The sequence below is a fragment of the Homo sapiens genome, chromosome 14, assembly GCF_000001405.40.
Source record: "Homo sapiens chromosome 14, GRCh38.p14 Primary Assembly".
NCBI lineage: Eukaryota > Metazoa > Chordata > Mammalia > Primates > Hominidae > Homo > Homo sapiens.
In genome coordinates, this window is record NC_000014.9 from 78,611,676 (window position 1) to 78,632,193 (window position 20,518).

Below are 20,518 nucleotides of genomic sequence, written 5' to 3' on the forward strand. Positions count from 1 at the left end.
CAAGTCAGATTTTCTAGCCCCTAGACAGGACTCTTTCCTTTCTACGACATGAAAAACTTCAGAGTCACCAATTTCTACCCACTTTACTAGCACCCTATCTTCTTACTGAATAATCTGCAGGTGCAGAGAAAGTCTTCTAGGCTTTGAGACTTCAGAAGGTCTTTAGATCTTTACTTATATTGCCAGTCACTTACAGATTCTTCCAGACAAGTGCCTTTGAATTGTTGATAAGATTGGTTTATTTTTGTTTTCATTTTTACTCTTTAAACCCAAGACGTCTATCTGCTCATTACCTCCTATTGCATCATTATATAATCATGAAATCTTGGTATGCAGAAGGGCGTGGTGTGCTCTTTGACTTGAAAGTGGGGGCATTTTGGTGGCCAACAGCTTTCTGTTTTGCAAAAGACCGTGGTACATTGAGGTCCAGAGGACATCACTGATGGACTTGGCATGAGGAAAACCCTTCTCTAAGTTGTTGCTGTAGTTTAAACTTGCTTTCTTACATCCTGTTGGTTGGATTGTCATAGCACCCTCATCTTCTGTTGAAATATCATTTAGTAGACTCTAAATTCTGGAAAGATCTGAGATCAAGTTTCTTAGTTCTTTGGGTCTTGAAAGGATTACAAATGGAGTGAGAATGGCTATTGCAAACATGTTTTCATTTCTAGTTATGGCTGGTGAGGGAAGAACTAAATGTCAAAAAATATATGTGTACATCTGTAGAAGGTACAGTATGAGTAATGAATATAGTGGTTTTCAATCATATGAAAGAATGATTTATATTGATAAAGAGATCAATGTTTGTACTTCCCAGCAAATATTTTTTAACCTGGGATCTCTGAGCCCCTTGAAAACATGTGCAAAATTTTGTATGGATAAGGCAATGCAGTGCAGTGTTTCAACCCACTGATGTTGAACATACTGACCAGGATTTTGGCTCTGCCACTTGCCAGATTTGTAGCTTTAGAAAAATTACTTACACTCTTCAGGGCTTAGATTTTTGAACTAGTCTGGTACTCAGTTGAGATTTGCTATTCTGTATTGTTTCTTTTCTGTCTGTAATGCTTTGTTCTCATTCCTGCATACTGAAACTCTTCCTGCAGGTTTTTCTCTCTGGCAGCCATCCCCAGTTTTAGCTGTGGAAACTCAAGTAGGCCTCTAACAAAATGTTCTGTGGTGGTGAGAAAGCTAAGGAAAACCAGCTGCTAAAATTACAGCAAGTCTCTGGTTGCTGTTGCTTGGTTTCTTTCCCTGTATAGTTATTTCCCGTGCATGGTTCCTCAAAGTGAAATGAACCTTAGTGTCATATCACATAATCATGGAATGTTAGAACTGGCAGGAACCAGAGATGATTCCATTTCTGTGGTCTGCCAGTTCAAATCCTTGCTGTGTAGAAAGCAAGTCCTTGACCAAAGGCCTGCCTTGCCAATCAGCCTCCTTGCTATTAATATATTGTCCCTCTGACTCCTTTAACTTGTTTAATTGCGCTAAGTTCTTAAGTGGATTTACTGCCATTCCTTATCCAGATCTGAGGCTGTATGATATAAAGATAACTAGTGTTTGTTTAGTATTTATGCCATTTTAGTAGTTATATTTTATTCTTAAAAAGTAAAAGTGACTGGTTCAGGAAATAAGTACTCTCAGGATTGAGACATATTTTTACATGTTTCATTATTTTGATAAATTTTAAAATTAGATTTTGTATTAAGAAGACTGTTCAGAAATTATCCCCATTATCTCATTTTTATTCATTATTCAAAGAAATGTAAGAAAATAATAAGCCCTTTATCTAGCTATTGGAATTTTGGAACTTCCGAGGCAACTGTGAATCTCAAGTTAGCCAGAGAAAAGGGGGCACAGAGTCTTTAAGCAAGAGGAGAAAACTGTCTCACAACCATAGTTTTTTTTTTTTTTTTTTTTTTTTTCCCTTGGAAAGGAATAGAGCTAGCCAGAGGACTTAGGGTCTAGTTTCCATACCAGGTGGGAGGGTTAGAGACAGCAAGTGAAATTGGTGGAGAACTTTGGAAGTTGTCAAATCTTCATTGAGTGAGAAAAATAAAGCCGGGACAGAAGTACCCCAAGGAAGACCACAGAAGGAAATCCTAACAGAACATACATAGCTCAGGAGACCAGAATCTTTTAGGTCAAAAGCAACAACCTCAAGAGAACTTAAGAAAACCAAGTGCATTCTTAAACCAGAAAAGTACACTCAGAAATCACGGAGAACTCAAGCAAAGGACTTTCAGGCACCAACCTCTCTTACAAGCTCTATTATAGCACCAGTGAAATAATTGATATTCATGAAGATCATACAATTTTAGACTCTTTGGGTTGGTTGTAGCTTAGAGATTATCTAGTTCAGGGCTGCTCAAGGTGTTTCCTGCACATCAGTGCCGTCCAAGAGCTGTTTGTTACTAATCCATAAGGATATAAATATGGAAACTGAGAGTAAGCATTTAAGCACTTTTGTAGTAATTCCATGTGTGGGAACACACAGGTGAGGGAGAGTGGACTGGTCTCATTCAAGAGGGTGTCAAACAGTTCAGCATTTTAAAACTTACTTGGTGAGTCATATGTGGCATGAGCTGGTAGTTCTTCACAGTAGGGCATGTATTGATCTGAAAGGATGGAAAAATCTAAAAAACAAAATAAAACAAAATTGGCTGTTTACTAAAAAGATCTTGTGAAGCCCCAATCTAGTGAAAAAGCCTACTTTTACATATGAAAAGATAGATGATTTATCCAAGAAAATATAAAAAGATGATGGCAGAACCCAGAATATGGGATTAATAACATTTTATTAATTAAGCAAATTATGCCCAACATACTCTGCTTCTTAAAATAGGCAAAGCATGCAACACATTGTAGAATTAAAAAAAAAAAAAGACAAACATTTGAGACCTGTGGGCTCTTAAAGGTTGAATCATTCCTCCATGGACTTCACATTTCAAATAAGATTTTGCTATATATACACATACAACTGTATCACCCCACAGAAAACATATTTTGCACTTGAAGTTTGTTGATCTCTTGGGGCATTATTTTGTTTCTGGGAATTCTTAAAGAATATAAGGCTATGCTGGATGGCAATTTTCTGGGTCAATTGTGCCCAAGGCACTCCCTACAGCAAATTAGGTAATGAAACAACTCTTGTGGGCCCTTATGATGCAATTTAGGGCACTATAGTGGTAATAGACTAGCTGGGGGCTCAGCAGCTAGTGGAACTCTAGGGACCTCAAAGCATGACTAAGCCTTCTTCAGTGCCCAGTTTTCTGCCGTGGGATGGTGTTAGGCCCGGGAAGAACAGAGCCTAAATGCACCCCTCTACCCACTTCCACCGGGATCTTGACGAAGGTAGGGATGCTCCTCGTATTTCCATGGTTAGATTAGGCTAATTGTCCCTTACAAGTTGAGGTTTTGAAACAACTGGAAGTGGATAGAATCACAATGGTCATATTACCATGATAATAACAATATCTTACATGTATACCATTGAACTTTTATCTCATTAGGTCCTCACTATAGTCTCACTATAGGCCAAGCAGCTACTTTTAGCTGCTTTGTAATAAGTAAGCCAAATAAAGGCTCAAAGATTGAACAGATTTATTGATTTTACCCCTCAGTTAAAACTAAGATCCAGGGCCGGGCGCGGTGGCTCACGCCTATAATCCCAGCACTTTGGGAGGCCGAGGTGGGTGGATCACGAGTTCAGGAGATCGAAACCATCCTAGCTAACACGGTGAAACCCCATCTCTACTGAAAATACAAAAAAAAAAAAAAAAATTAGTCTGTTGTGGTGGCGGGTGCCTGTAGTCCCAGCTACTTGGGAGGCTGAGGCAGGAGAATGGCGTGAACCCGGGAGGTGGAGCTTGCAGTGAGCTGAGATCGCACCACTGCACTTCAGCCTGGGCGACAGTGTGAGACTCCATCTCAAAAACAACAACAACAACAATAACCAAAAAAACTAAGATCCAGGATGGGTACAGTGGCTCAGGCCTGTGATCCCAGCACTTTGGGAGGCCAAAGTGGGAGGATTGCTTGAGGCCAGGAGTTTAGGACCAGCCTGGACAACATGGTGAGACACAGTCTCTACCCCCAAAAAAAACAAAACAATTAGTTGGATGTGGGCATAGTGGCATATGCCTGTAGTCCTAACTACTCAGGAGACTGAGGTGGGAGACTAAGGCAGGAGGATCACTGGAGACCAGGAGTTTAAGGCTGAAGTAAGCTATGATTAAATCACTATACTCCAGCCTGGGTGACAAAGCAAGATCATCTCCAAACAAAACAAAACAAATCAACAAAACCCTCAGATTCATCCCCATGTCTCCATCTCTACTGTCACTATCCAAGTCCGTGCCGCCATCACTCATCACCTGCATAACTGCAGAAGCCTACCAATAGTCTCCCTGACTCACTCAGCTCCTCCAGTGGATTATTTACATAGCAGCCAGAGTGATCTTTTTAAAGTATAAATCATACCCTGTCTCTCTAAGCTTAAAACCCTTTAATGGTTTCCATTTTTCTTAGGATAAAGTCCAAACTTCTTGGCAAGGTTTGCAAAGCCCAGCAGGTAGCACTTGGCCACCTCTGCAACTTCCTCTTACACTGCTCTCTTGTTACTCTTGGTGCATTTGCCCCATTAGCCTTCAAATTCATCAAGCTCTTTTCTGCTCTCCCTCCCCTCCCAAAGGCTAACTCGTACTCATTTGCAGGTTTCCGTTTAAACCCTGCTTCTTCAAGAGCTTCCTTAATTCTTCATCTAAATTAGCTCCTTCTACTTTCTCTTTCCTCTTATTCCACCCTGATCTTGTCTCCACGGAGTTTTTAGCACGATTCAAAGTTACGTCCATCTGTAGGCTTTTCTTTGTTTGAGGGCCGTCTCCCTCACTACAATGCAAGATTGATGAGGACAAGCCCTATGCAGCTTTGTTCACCAGTGAATATTCACACATAGCTCTCTGCTTCAGAGTTCTCTTGCTATAAATATGTGATAAATAAAAAATGAGGGAATGATAGGCCCAAGAGGGCACAGATGGGCAAGGGTGATGTGAGATAATGCACTCTGCTTCTGAAATAATTCCTAATTACCTTTGGTTTTGTTCTTAAAACACAACTGGAGTTCTTAGAAGAAATATGCAATCTGGCATATAGTAAGGGCTCAATAAATGTTTGAATACATGAATTAATATGTAATGAAAGAATGAATGCCATCGTTACAAATTAGCTGAGTTCTCCATGTGTTTGTAATATTAGGATATTACTGTCCCCAAGTTGCATTATCGACTTCCTGGCTTTCAGTGGGCCCAGTGTCCCCACATGCCTGCTCACCCCCCACTGCACTAACCTAAATAATCTCTGATTATTTTCTTTTTCTCTTGCTACTACCAAATTCTGTTCTGAGTGAGGAAGCAGCTTGGTTAAAAAACAAAAGCCCTGATATGTATATATATTTTTTTTCCTGAAGAATACCATCAGGATGAAGGCTATGATTAATACACATAATTGCTACAAATGGCAGCTAACTGCAGAAAACCACCTCCCAGCTGTTGGAGGAAGGAAATTGCTGACAGCCACTCCCCATTGGGTGGCTACCAAAAGAGAGGAGCTCACAGGAGCAGGAGAGAATACACATCTCCATCCCACGTGACCCATAGAGATGACCCATAGGGCTCTGTCTTACATGTGAGCTTTGCCATAAAATGGTAGTGTTAAGAGTTTTTAGGGCTGGGGTTTACAGCCAGGCTTTCCATGGCTGGGGCTGGTTTTATAGGACATGCTGTCCTGCAGAATGAACATTTAGAATCCCTGTGGCCCAGTTGGTATTACTGCAAAACCCAGGTTGAATCCCTTCAGGAGGAGACAGATGATTCTTGGCTGGTCAGATTTCTTCTCTCATCCTTTCCTTGTTCATTTGCCCTATTCTAATGGGATGGGGAATGCACAAACAAGGAAGAAGCTCTGGGTTGCTTCTTGGAGTCTGCTTTGTGACCTGAGCTCGACCCTTCACTTTCCTGGGCCTCAGTCTCTTCAGTCTATAATGTGAGGTGTTAGACTAGAAGATCACTGTTTCCTTAATTTTAAGCATCTGTGTTACAAAACATACGTACAAAGTATGTGTACATATCATATTAAAATGTATATAAAGTTATATCTATATCTGTCTATCTATCATCTATTCTCTAGTTTCTATTAGCTTGGTGCAAAAGTAATTGCGGTTTTTGCCATTGAAAGTAATGGCAAAAACCGCAATTACTTTTGCACCAACTTTGTATCAATTATCACCTATTTATCTTTCAACGATTATTCATCATCTATCCATCCACCTATCTATCTATTTATCAATCAATCATTCTTATGTATCTCCATACCCCCATCTTCTCTGTCTACTGTTTTACAGTTAGCACCCGAAAAGTTATTTGTACTTGTGTTAGTGTTAACATGTGTCTGGCTTAACTAGTCCCTTGTTCAGGTGCAGGAATTTATCAACATATAAATCAGAAGACAAAAAACTTCAAGCCTAACACACTTAATGCACATAAGCTTCTCCAGGCCACCACTTACAGAGTTGTGCTATACCTTTTTTTTTTTTTTTGATGTGGCAAAAACAAAACAACTCAGCAGCTAAACAGATGAAAAGCCAAGCTGTGGGCTAAGGTATGTATTTGATGAAGCTCTCTCTTCTCTAGATCTTTAGTGGGAAGAGTTTTGCCACTTGACACATATTTACCCCGCAAACCTACACTGGCAATGCTAAGGCAGTGAGCACAGAACACAGGCCTGAAGTGTGCTGGAAGTTAGCTGAAGGGCAATGTCAGCGCACCAGCTTTGAAATTACATGCAGCGCAGTCACCGTCCCTCTGGAAAACTGTGCATTCTGTGAATGCTGACTCTGGAAGTGCACACGCTGAGCATCAGGGCTGGAAAACAGCTGAGAGAGAATGTTCTCCCAGGAGAACAAACCTTAGCGAGCTTCCTCCATGTGTTCTGTACATCTGCATCATCTCATTTCATCTTCAAACAATCCATGAAGTAATGCAGTCTTCTTTATATGGTAGGAAAACTGAGGATCAGAAAAATTAACTGATTTTATTCAAGGATACCCTGTTAGTTGCAGCCACTGGTGGTAACATTTTTTAGTGCTTTGGTGCCAAAAAAGAAAAAAAGAAATTTTTGTGCTCCAAATAAAAGAGGACTTCTGTAGAAATTAAAATAAGGCATTATTAGAACTTTAGGAATTTTGCTTCTTTCTTTGTCCTCTGATTATTCCTGTGACTTTATGTATGACCCCTTAATGCAATGGCTGTGTTCTACCAGTTGATTTGGACATGTACATAGTTGACCTTCAAACCCATTACTGTTGCATCCGAGACTATCCCCTTGAGGAGTTCCATCAGGGAGGGAGGAGCATCGTCTAGAAGTCAGAAGTCTTTGCCTGCTGTTAGTATTCTCCACAGAGCTCCTCCTCTCCCTCAGTTGAGGGTCACAGGATGTTAGAGAAATCAAAAGCCACTGGACATCAGGGAAAGATTGAGGAGCCTGTTACCTGTCACCTTTTCATTTAGACGGCCTTGCTTCTAAAATTATATTCTGAATTTTCCATTTATTCTTGCTGCTATAGACTGAATGTTTTTCCCCCTCCCACACCCACTGTTCATATGTTGAAGCCCTAATCCCCAATGTGATGGTATTTGAGGTAGGTAGGGAGGTAATTAGGTTTAGATGAGGACATGGGGATAGAGCCCCCTTATGGGATAAGAAAATGATTATAAGAAGAGTGCTCGATATGGTTAAGCTTTGTGTCCCACCCGAATCTCATCTTGAATTGAGATTCCCATAATCCCCATAATCCCCATGTGTCAAGGGAGAGACCAGGTGGAGGTAATTGAATCATGGGGGTTGCTCCCTCATACTGCTCTTGTGATAGTGAGTGAGTTCTAATGAGATCTGATGGTTTTATAAGGGGCTCTTGCCCTCTTTGCTTGGCATTTCTCCTTCCTGGCGCCTTGCAAAGAGGGTGCCTTGCTTCCTCTTTGCCTTCCACCATGATTGTAAATTTCCTGAGGTTTCCCAAGCCATGCTGAAATGTGAGTCAATTAAACCTCTTTCCTTTATAAATTACCCAGCCTCAGGTAGTTCTTTACAGCAGTAGAAAAATGGACTAATATAATGCCCTTAGAACAAGAGGAAGAGACAAGAGTCTTCCCTTTTTCTCGGCCATGTGAGGACACAGGAAGAAGATGGCCATCTACAAATCAGAAAGAGGGCACTCACCAGGCACCGAATCTGCCAGCACTTTGATCTTGGACTTCCTAGCCTCCAGAACTGTGCAAAATAAATGTTGGCTGCTTAAGTCACCCAGTCTATGGTATTTTGTTACAGCAGCCCAAACTGGCTAAGATACTGTCTTGTAGGTGAAACAGGGCTAGGAGTTATTTTACAGGCATAAAGTTACCTGTTTTTACACTCTTGAGAATCAATTAGTGGGTTGGTATACTAATGGTAGGGTCTAAAAAAAGAAGAAAAACACCAAATGCATTTGAAGCGATTCCAACTTTGGGACACTTTTTATTATTTCAGACAAATGCAGATAGAATGTTTACTGAGGTGTCTCCCTGGCCCTTTATGTAATATTTGGATAGCGCAATCCTTAGCTGCATGCAGATAATGTGTTAGGCAGCTAGAAAAATAACCTGCTTGTACTGTTTCTGATTTATTCCCCCTCCTCCCTCACGTCTTTGTTCACAGTAAACACATCACTGCAGAGTAGCTAGCAAATGAATGCCTTTTTATCAGAGGTACATGCCCAGTTGGTGGCTACGACCACATAGAACAGCAGATATGGCCAAAGGGGGAATCACTGACAAAACAGGCAGACCCTCACCCAGAGTGGATGGTGTTTCTTGGCATCTGAGAATCAGAATATAGAGGAAGATGAAAGCACTGTCGTGTTTACGGTGCTGGAAATTATATTGAAACTCAAGTAAAATAATGATGCTGCTGCTGCTGATGATGATTTGTTGAGTGTTTACTATAGGCTCTGATCTGGCATGCTTTCCATGTATAATTTCATTTATACTTTACTACAACCTCAGGTGAGAGCTACAGTTATTATATTATTATACCTATTTTATAGGTGAGGAAACCGAGACATAGAGAGTTTAAATAACTTGCCCAGTGTCACATAGGTTAAGAACCAGGATCAAGATAAGAGCTTTCCTCAACTACCCAGGAAGGACCAAACAAGTTAAGAGTCTCCAGAATTTGAGAGGAGGAATTATGATTCTGGAAGTTCCAATCTTTCTCTCCAGCTTCAGAAGGATCAACCAATATTTTAAAGGAATGTTTAATCCTTGTGGTATGAGCTGTTGGGGTAAGAAAGAATATGGGCTGGGGTGAAGATTGAATATGAGCCAAGTTCAGTCTCATTACAGGACTAGGAAGACAGAGAAATACCAAGATCTAGAGCATTGAGGGATATTTTGATGAAGCTCTGTTGGCTCTTGCATGGTCCACATGAATGCAAAGCATTCATTTTTTTTCTAGATGAGAGGCACAAAGAAATAAGACAGCATTTTTCTTTTTTCAGTAAAATCCCTTTAGTTTTGACTGCACTAATTCTGTATTTTCCTAATTTAGTCATGTTAAGCTAAAATTTACCTTTATACCATGTAGGTTGAGAGGAGGATTTATAAAACAAAAAGAGAAAGTGGTCAGCCTATTCTATCGGATCAAATCAGTAAATTACTACCAATCTTCACTACTTCAGGACAATTATTTTATTCAAATAACAAATACACTAATTACAAATGAATGTCCATTTTTAAATCACTTGCAAGAGTCCCACACACATTTAACAGAGTGGTTTTCTTTTCTTTACCTTATGTTCTTGGAGATAATAAATCAACATTTCCCTCAGAAAGCATTTGTTAATTTTTTATTCAATCATACCAATCTTTTGCCCAATTAGGAGGCATTAGTGTAATTTTTTCCCATTAAATTGTACATAAGTACTGTCGTCCTTGTTTGAATAATTAACTTTCACCTAGATGCCCTATGTGTTTCGGTTGATGTATTTGCTCACTTGCATCTGCGGTTTGCTGTAGCTTTGAAACTACTGACACTTTCAAGCAAGATGGACTAATGTCTCTGAAATGAAGCTGGACATTTGGATTTGTGACAGTGAGCTTGACACTTATTACCTTACTAATAGGTAGTAAGCATATACCAAAATGATTTACATAGAGGGTATTAGTACCTATTAGTACCTTACTACCTATTAGTAAGGTAATATGTGTCAAAGATTTACATAGAGGGTATATGCTTACTACCTGTTAGTGCTAAGACATTGGTTCTGTCAGATGAGGATTTTCTGATTGGCAACTAAGGAAGTTATGTTCATAATTTAAAGTGAAGGGGTGGGATGGGATAGAGCTGGATCAATGCCCCATGGTACTACAGAGTGAGTGATAACTTGGAGAATATTGTCCCCCTGCTCCCCACCCAGCTGCCAGTTTGACTAGCCTTTCAAATAGCATTCACTTGTCCTCAATTCTCACCCAAGACAAAACACCCATGACTTGGAACAATAAAGCAAACATATTTCCAAAATGGCCATGGCAGAACAGTGAAAAGGTACTTTGGTATATCTCATGCCACATTTCACAGATCTTCTGTTCTGTGATGGTTTATGGAAGTGAAGTACTTTATTATGTAAAATTCATCCTGTTTTTTGTTTGTTTGTTTGTTTGTTTTGTTTTGTGATACTACAGATCCATTTCACTATAGCCAAAGGACATGCGTTTGGGGTCTGGGGATCCATCAGAGGATTCTTCTCTCTTCTTCTGGTCCCACAAAGCAATCGTGAGCTTTAGAAAGGAATCCTAGGAAAAGTGAATAGTCTTCCACTGACATCTGCTCTTTCTTATAGCTTACAATGAATACTGCCTCTTAAAGTGTCTTCTTAAAGTGGCACAAAGAGAGCACCTCTGTGAGTGCAGGGTGATTGGGCACGCAGTAGGAGAAGCACTCAGGGTTAGCAAGTGATTTTCCTGACACAAAACCATTTGTTGGCAAGATCTGTGGGAGAAACATTCTGGATTTTGTATTTCTTGACCTTTCCGTGCTTTCATTTGGTAAACTTTGCAAAGCAGAAGCTTTATCTTAAAAGTTGTTGTGGTTTTGTATTAAGCTCTTTTGAAGTAACTGATATGACTTATTTTGCTTTAAGACTTAAAGTGCAATTTTTAATAAGCTGGTACCATTTATTAATTACTTACTAATGATCCCAGCACAGTGCTTTCTGTATATTATGTCTCTTCGTCTCTACAAAAAACCCCAGGACTTATAAATTATTATTTTTCTCTAATTTGCGGATGGCTAAACTGAAGCTTAAAGAGATTAAGTAATTTGCTGAAAATCACATGACTTCTAAGGAAGGTTGAGATTCTTTCTGACTCCAAAGCCTGAGCATTATTTCATCACTGCCTTCCTTTATACATTATGTATGTTAATTCAATGTTTTCCTCCCTCTCAGGCTACAGAACTCAGATTTCATGAGAGTTTAGAGTTCTAGTCTCCAGAGTTTTTCAGTAACCCTTCTCTCTTTTCAGTAGAAAGGGAGAGTTGTTTTAAAAATGGATAACTACTTAAGAAAGGCCTTTGACAATCTCTAACGTGTGAAAAATTCTTTTTGGCCACTGGCTTCTGATGACTCAAATTGTCAGTTGACTTGTTTGCTAACATGTTTTAGCTTCCATCACTCCCTTCCACAGATGGCATGAAGAATTGGCCATAGTAGATAACCATGCTACAGTAGATGCCATTCATTTATTGCCATTCATTTATAGCAAATAGCCATTCTATAGCAGATGCCATTCATTTATTTTATTTTATTTTTATTTTTTGAGACAGAGCCTCACTCAGTTGCCCAGGCTGGAGTGCAGTGGCGTGATCTCGGCTTACTGCAACCTCCGCCTCCCAGGTTCAAGCTATTCTCCTGCCTCAGCCTCCCAAGTAGCTGGTATTTATAGGCACACACCACCACGCCTGGCTAATTTTTGTATGTTTAGTAGAGACGGGGTTTCACCATGTTGGTCAGGCTGGTCTAAAACTCCTGACCTCAGGTGATCCGCCCACCTTGGCCTCCCAAAATGTTGGGATTACAGTCATGCGTGAGCCATGGCACCCGGGCTGATGCCATTCATTTAGAGTAGTCATTCTTTCATAGTAGACAGCCATTCTGTAGTAGATACCATTTTCTATAGTAGCACTACCCCTTACCATCCGACTAGAAGAAGAATAAGTAAGTGATTAGAAATAAGGCTCCTGGTTATAGGGTTTGTTACCCAATGAACATGATGACTTGATTAGCGTGCCCTTTCAGCCCAATGTAGGATTTTCTATGGACTATGATTGAGAGCAGACACCTACAGATTTGTTTGCTTTACATATATAGCTGAATAGTCAAAATGCTATATCCACCTCAAATGGAGTCAGGATAAGCATTATGAAAAGTCAGAATTGGCAGTTGCTAGGTGATGTAATTTGAGGGACTTCATGGAGCATACCCTCCAAAAAACTCTTACTGATGCCTGAAATTTCACAGTTATGTCTTGATTACATTGGATTGAGCAACAGCCCCTCCTTTAAAAAATGCAAATTCTTCTCACACAGGGAGGTAGCTATTATGCCCCTGACACACTGGGTGCTTATTAAGCACTCGAAGCAGAACAGAGGATGTGGATGGATGAGGAGATGGAAAAAGTTGTGCAGTGAACAGTTTCCCTGAGAGCTGGCATGGCAAGAGGGGGGCGGTATGCCCACTGCACAGGGGCGGGGCCAGGTGCTGGATCCTGCACAGTGGGAACATGCTCCCCTCTGCCATCTTTTGTTGGGAAGAGGCTCACACAGCCTTTCCAGAAGAGAATTGCAGGACCAAGCAAGGTGAACTGGGAAAGAGAAGGATCTGGAAGTCTAGGATGGCAAGATAGATTGGAGAGCAATACACAGACAACCTGGGGAAGAGACCTCGCCTGGGTCTGAGGTGATGGGGTGGGAGCCCTGGCTCTGCATCTGGCTAGCTTTGTAACCCAGTCCCACGTCTACTGACCCCTTGACTTCCTGTTCCTTTGTGTGTGTGTGTGTGTGTGTGTTTGTTTGTTTGTTTGTTTGTTTGTTTTGAGAAGGAGTCTCGCTGTGTCACCCAGGCTGGAGTGCAGTGGTGCGATCTTGGTTCACTGCAACCTCCGCCTCCCAGGTTCAAGCGATTCTCTTGCCTCAGCCTCCTGAGTAGCTGGGACTACAGGCGTGTGCCACCATGCCCGGCTAATTTTTGTATTTTTAGTAGAGACGGGGTTTCACCTTATTGGTCAGGCTGGTCTTGAACTCCTGACCTCAAGATCCACCCGCCTTGGCCTCCCAAAGTGTTGGGATTACAGGCGTGAGCCACCGCACCTGGTCCCTGTTCCTTATCTTTAAAATGAGGGCATTTGACTAGGGACATCTCCAAGTTTCCTTCTAGTTATGAAGAATACATTTTTTTAAAATTGTACTGGAATCTTATGAGAAACACGAGGGATTATTCTTTTTGCTTTTAAGATTTATCCATGATAGAGTATAAGATAAGCCATGGGACTTGCTTCTCTCCCAACTCACCATACCCAAAAGATATTAATCTTGGTAAGATCCCACAACCAACACTATGCTTTTGCAAGAGCATCCAAAGTTGTGATTTTGGGTTTTGTTTTGATTTCTTTTGTTGGTTTTTTAATTTAGCTTGTGACTAATAGAAAACCAGAAATACTAATCTCTTACATCAAAGGAAGGTTACTGGCAACCTCCTTGTACTCTCCAGGGAGGCATGGTTCTCTTGGACTTAGCCTGGGTTGTCTGCATCTGGGAAGGACTTGGACAGGAAAGAGCTAGGCATAGGAGCTGAAAGGGAACCTTCTTATCTTCAGACTGGGAGGACACAGGTTATATCCTCCATCAGAGGTGTAGAAGAAATGATGCTCAACAATCAGTCACATCCTCAGAACTTCCCCAGGCTTGCATCCCTGGAAAGCTGAAGTAGTCTTTGGGGCTTCAGAGAAGGCATCAATTGATGGATCTCAGTCCATGTGTGTGTGAGGCTCAAGGTTACCTGGCAAGGCAGTACAGGGCAGTAGTAAAGAGTGAGTAAAGGATTTGGGGTCAGCAAAACCTGGTTTTGATCCTCGATGCTACCTCTTTCAATGGACAGGTTACCAAGCCTCAACTCCCATGTCTGTAGAAGAGACTGTCACAACACTTGTCTCTGAGTTGTGACGGCTCCACACAATAGTCCAGGCAAGGAGGTAAGCCTGGTGCTCAGCATTGACCAGCCATCTAGAATTGGTCATTGCCATTATTATTAAACAGTGCAGCCCTATGGCCAGTGAAAAACAACTTTTAAGGCAGCAAGGCACTTGCAGCATCCAATCTGGGGAACCACTCAGAACCCCGGAAAGGTACTCCAGCAACACCTGACCCTTCTCAGATTCACTTCCCTTTACATAGCTTGTTACGTGGTGAGCTTTAACTACAGTGCGCAGCTCTCATCTCTTCAAGGGTGGGAGGATTGCACTGCAAATATGTCTAAAAAGGCACCTGTGTCAATATAGTTTGTGTCATATTCAACAGGGAGAGCAAAATGAAATGCATCTTTCACAGATCTGTAGAAAACAATCATCATGGGTGCTTCCTAAACTCCATCCAGAGAGTTAAAGGCATCAATCGTTATTATTTTTTCCCTTCAAAATACATATAAAGAATTTAAAAATACATATAATTTTTGACTTCAGGAATGTATGTTTGTTTACAAGTAATTTTATTGCAAAATATCAAGAATGTTCTGACCTCTATGTGAATGGATGTACATATATCTCCCCAAAGTGGTCTATGTCAATGTCAGATAAAAAGTCATTCATGTATTTCAGATGAGATGGAAGAGGAAAGCAATTTGCCAAGTAGTGATGACATAAAGGAATGTGCTTATAGGGTCTTCAGAGGGCTATCCCTGCCTGGAGGGTTTTTGAGGGTAGGTAGGAGGCCAGGTGGTTGGCTCCTCTGTTATTGAAAAAAGGAGATTGTCTTTCAGAGAGCACTGAGGCCTAGAGCACTCTTATCACTTGGAATGCCCGTCAGGGCTCACAGAGAGTGGAGAAGCATTTTATATATCACAAGCCATTGCATGCCATAACTTCTCCTTCTTTTCTTGTCCTCTTTATTTTCCCCTACCAGCATGGCTCTCAGATTTATTAACAGCCCTTTCATGCCTTCTACAGCCATCAGGAAGAGAAATAAAGAGGTCTGGGAGAATCCAATCTTCTTTAGCTTGTCCTTTTTCACTCTCTTAGCTTTTTTGTTTGTTTGTTTCTCTTTCCCTCCCTTCCTCCCTCCCTCCCTTCTCTCTCTCTCTCTCTCTCTCTCTCTCTCTCTCTCTCTCATTTTTATTAGACTGCTCTGCATCAGGCTAGAGTTTCTTTTTCAATTTCCCTCTTCTTTCACTGTTTTTAATTGTTTCAGTGCCTTTGTTTTTCCCTAGACTTGAGCACAGTGGGAAAGGTCAGCTGTCAGAAGAGGGGCTGTACACAGCTGATAAGGCCTTCAGGAGACTGGATTGGAGTCATTTAGGCAGCATTCTCTCCCTGAAGTCATAGAGGCTACACTGTTGCAGTGGAAAGAAAAAAAGAGCTCAATGAGTAGAAAAGGCAACTTACATGAAATGAGCAGCTTGGCTATGTGAGCACTAAGCAGTGCATTACTTACCCAGAGCCCTTTTCCAGAGGCAGGTGCTGCCCAGTGCCAGCTCCAGTGACTCTGGGACGTTGATGGAAATGTGAATCTGGATGAGGCACACATGCAGGAGGCTTGGAGTAAGGACTCAACTGGGAATTAGGAATCTAACATCCTGGAAATCAAAGTTGTCCCCTGTTAATATATCTGCTTCATGGTTATTTTACAACTAATGAACTTATATAAAAATCAGAAAGCCTAGGTTCTGGTCTTGGGTATATTGCTAATTACTTTGGGAAAGCATGAAACTATACTAGCCTTGTAAAAAGAAGTAGAAAATGTGTGGTTTTTAAAGCACTTTTCATAGATAATATCTAGAATTCATCTTCCTGATATCATTTGCAAAGTAGAAGTGAGGAGCATACCCCTTCTTGGACATGGCTATGAAAACCAGTTAATTCCTTTTTATGTAAGTACCTTGAGGTAAACCCAAAGTCAAAGCCCTTGGAACTCATCCAAATAGCCTATGCAAAAATTCATGATGGAGTGCTGCAGAGCTTTTAAAGAAATGGTGGTCATCTTCTGGAATGGGAAAAAGAATAGTTGATATGGATAATACCATAGCATTGCAGAGTTCTTTTTTTTTTTTTTTTTAAGAGACCAAATCTTACGCTGTCACTCAGGCTGGAGTGCAGTAGTGTGATCATGACTCACTGCAGCCTCGAACTCCTGGGCTCAAACAACACTCCTGCCTCAGCCTCCCAAGTAGCTGGGACTATAGACACATGCCACCGTGCCCAGATAATCTTTTTATTTTTTGTAGAGATAGGGTCTCTTTGTTGCCCAGGCTGGTCTGGAACTCCTGGCTTCAAGTGATCCTTCTGAGTCACCAGGATTTCAGGCATAAGCCAATATGGCTCAGCAAATTCTTCATGTTTTCAAAACAATTTTTTTATACTTCACAATAACCTGATTTAAGGATACTTCCTACCATAATGTACCTGAAAAATATGACATGCTAAAATGTGACAGAACTCCTGTTTTCACTGTCAACCTGGCACATGACAAGTGTTCTCAATAAAGGTTTGCTGAATGAATGAATAAAATTATTGAGTGAGTGGGTAACTTAAAGCCTTCAAGTAACACACAGTTAACTATGTTTATTTGGCTCTCCCTGGCCAACCCCAGTAATGGTTGGGTACAAAGAGGAATTGGGGTAGATAATGTTGGCCATAAAGGATATGTAATCTGGTTATATTGGTAGTTCTGCTGTCTTGCCATAGAAAAGGGAGCCAAAGGGTTTTAACTAGAGCTCTGTCACCTTGGGAGAACCCTCGGGAAAGAACCACTGTCCAGGCTAGCAGCCACAGAAGCCCTAGAAGATCACACAGTGAATTGCTTAGCTTCTGCTCTCACTGCAGTGCCTTTTACCCAAAACAAACTCTTGTTTTGGTAGGAGAAACAAGAAGGTTGGAGTTATACCCAATTCTAGCTTCATTCTAAATTCCCTTGTCAATTATTATTCTAATTGGATGACCCTGGACCCCTAAATCTCAGCTCCCCTCCTTGAAAACTGTCAATAATAATACCTAAATAGGTTGTTGTGAAGATTCTATGAAACATTAATACAAAGCCAGAGCTAAAGCCCTGATACACAATAAGCTTCAAAAATGGTAGCTGGCATCATCACTATCATCACCCCCATTTCAAGGGCTCTGGGAGTTTCCTGGTATGAAACAGTGATAATGATGCTTACTGTTTAAGGTTATAGAATTGAGGAGACTATTTGTAAAGGGCCTCTTGCGATGACAGGCACGTAATAGAGAAAAAATAAGTATTGGCTCCTTTCTCTCTCCTTTCTTCTATGATGTCTTCTTACTTTTCTACTTTAGCCGAGGTAGTGGTACATCATTACTCTTTCATAAAGTGACACAATGTCATTGAGGAATGCTCAAAAGGCCCCAGCAGATGGATGCTCATAGCTGGTTGAAGCAGAGTTAGGAGGGTAGCATGGAGGGGAAGGAGGAATGAGCAGCACTCGGGAATGCAAGACAGATCTTTTCTGCCAAACCTGGATGCACTGGAGGCTGCCATCCTAAAGCTTTTGTGAAGTTTCTGCCTGTTTCTGGAGTTATCCATGTAATCCTTGAGAGAACACTTCTGTTTGCACAAATCATTCCATACAACGTAATTAGCTACTTATAATACAGAGGACACTTGTGATCCCAAATTCAAACAATTGCAAAAGCAAAAGCAGTTTATTCATGGTGGTGTACAATGATAATTGATAATGAGCTAGATGACTGTGAGGTGCTATGGAATCTCAAAGACTCTTCTGAATTCTCAAAGGGAGTTCACCTTATTCATAGGATGACTTTAGGTTAGCAGAAAATAATGACTTTAAAAAGTATTATACCATAACAATGAATACATTACTTATATTGTTCATGTAATTACTAGTTCTTCAAAAACCAAAATGCCAAATTTACAATGATTAGAAATTAATAGCTAACAAAAACATCACACTAACTCGATGCCCTTTATTTGCCAATGATTCTAGCTAATGGAGAGTTTTTACTTGATGTGCTTTATTTTTTACCTTCTGACATCTGATCCATGTAGAATGACCAGCCTTCCTGGTTTTCTAGGAACCAGCTATTTTAGCACTAAAAGTCCTAGTGAACTTCTCATTTCTAGGCAAATTGGGATGGCTGGTTATTCTACTTGAAGCACCTGGTGGACCTCTTTTCAGGACAGCACCATGTTTAGACTAACATCTGACTGACAACTCAAAACGAAAAGAATCTCTGGTTCCAGATTATTTATAACTTTTGGATCTTGTTGATGAAGAAAATTTTTATGAAAAAAGAAAATAGAGTTGACTACTTTTCTATTTATTTAAATAATAACATTAACAAATTTTGTCTATCCTTGCCATCATTTTATAAGACAGGAAATTACAAAACCAAAAAAGTAGAAAGGAGTAGAATGTAAATTTTACAAGGGTTCCAGAGTGATGTGTTTATCACTATGTTCCCAGTGCCTAGCAGTGTGTGGTGTGGCATAGATCCTACATAAATATTTGTTGAATAAATGCACAGTGCATAAATTTAGCTTTTACTACAAATGTACTACACTCTTCTTATTTTTCTTTCTTTCTTTCTTTTTTTTTTTTTTTTGTTGTTTTTGAGACGGAGTCTCATTCTGTCACCCAGGCTGGAGTGCAGTGGCGCGATCTTGGCTCACGGCAAGCTCCGCCTCCTGGGTTCACGCCATTCTCCTGCCTCATCTTCCAGAGTAGCTGGGACTGCAGGTGCCTGCCACAACACCCAGCTACTTTTTCTGTATTTTTAGTAGAGACGGGGTTTCACCGTGTTAGCCAGGATGGTCTCGATCTCCTGACCTCGTGGTCCGCCCACCTCGGCCTCCCAAAGTGCTGGGATTACAGACGTGAGCCGCTGCACCCGGCCATTTTTCTAAATGTATTATAGATTGATGAAAACTTTCCCTTAGACCATTGCTTGGGGATCAATAGTTGAAATCTAAGTCTGTGGACTGTAGAGTTTTTTGATAGTAAGTTTTTATTGTAAATTATTTTAATGGCATTCTGTTGTTTATCCTAGTCTCATGTTCATTATAGTTGGTGTGGTCAACCTCCCATGAGATAATCATTCAGATAAGACCAAGTTTCCGGGCCTGTAAATCAGAGAATCAGGTTCATTTAACATCCTCTTAGATCTCAACTTCTATCAGTAGCAAGATACATCTTTGCAGATACCTACATGGAGATTTCACTACATCTGGCAGGGATGAGCCACCGGTCCTCATTTTCTTAATTCCTGGACAAGGTTTTTGTGTATTCTAACCAAGTATTCTTGCTTTTCTTTGTTCTGATTCATTCATCTACAAAGTGTGGTCAGAAACCTTGACCAACTGCTGATATGTACAAATATCACAACTTCTCTAAGTCTGGGATCTCCTACCACAGTTGAGATATCCAAATCATTCACAGTTTTGTCATAACTCGTGGATTAAAAAAATCATTGATAAATCATATCCGGTATTTCTGAAGAGGTTTAGAATTTTGGTTTCATGGATAGCATAGGAAATGTAAATTATCCATCACAAATGTCTTTACAAGTTACAAAACTAAACCAATTTGAGTGTTCATTTCAGAGAGGCTTAATACTCTCAGTTTTGTTGTTTCTTTTAATCACAAATCAACTAACCATTTCCCTTTCTGCAGCTACCTTGCACAATCCCTGAGCATATTTCTGACCTTAGCCCTCTGGTGTCATAGCTCTGATTCTAGCTGTTTGGCTTTGGATGGGGTTGTTGGGGTGTTGCAGCATCTGTAAATGGTTAAAGGAGCATTAGACTCAATGTATCAGGCTCATGCCTGTAATCCCAGCACTTTGGAGGCTGAGGCGGCAGGATCAGGAGGATCAGGAGGATCAGGTCAGGAGATCAAGACCATCCTGGCTAATTTGGTGAAACCCCGTCTCTGCTAAAAAAAAAAAATACAAAAAATTAGCCGGGCGTGGTGGCGGCTGCCTGTAGTCCCACCTTCTCAGGCGGCTGAGGCAGGAGAATGGTGTGAACCCAGGAGGCGGAGCTTGCAGTGAGCCGAGATCGCGCCACTGCACTCCAGCCTGGGCGACAGAGCGAGACTCCGTCTCAAAAAAAAAAAAAAAAAAAGTGGATTTCCTTATTTATGCTCTCATAATTAAGATAATTTTAGCATTTATATCGTGTAGTG

The 20,518-nt window shown here is 40.8% G+C and overlaps 1 protein-coding gene across 52 annotated transcripts in view, besides 2 other annotated features; it reads left to right on the forward strand.

Annotated features, from left to right (window-relative positions):
* The window catches only part of NRXN3 (neurexin 3), a 1,697,919-nt gene that overhangs the window by 441,303 nt on the left and 1,236,098 nt on the right, over window positions 1-20,518 (forward strand). The gene's annotated exons all lie outside the window — the stretch shown is intronic.
* Window positions 15,431-15,725: an enhancer, noted in NCBI's record as "tiled region #7209; K562 Activating non-DNase unmatched - State 24:Quies". NCBI's record gives its function as "activates a minimal TATA promoter and a strong SV40 promoter by Sharpr-MPRA in K562 cells {active_cell/tissue: K562}" and the evidence as "EXISTENCE:reporter gene assay evidence [ECO:0000049][PMID:27701403]".
* Window positions 15,431-15,725: a silencer, noted in NCBI's record as "tiled region #7209; HepG2 Repressive non-DNase unmatched - State 24:Quies". NCBI's record gives its function as "weakly represses a minimal TATA promoter and a strong SV40 promoter by Sharpr-MPRA in HepG2 cells {active_cell/tissue: HepG2}" and the evidence as "EXISTENCE:reporter gene assay evidence [ECO:0000049][PMID:27701403]".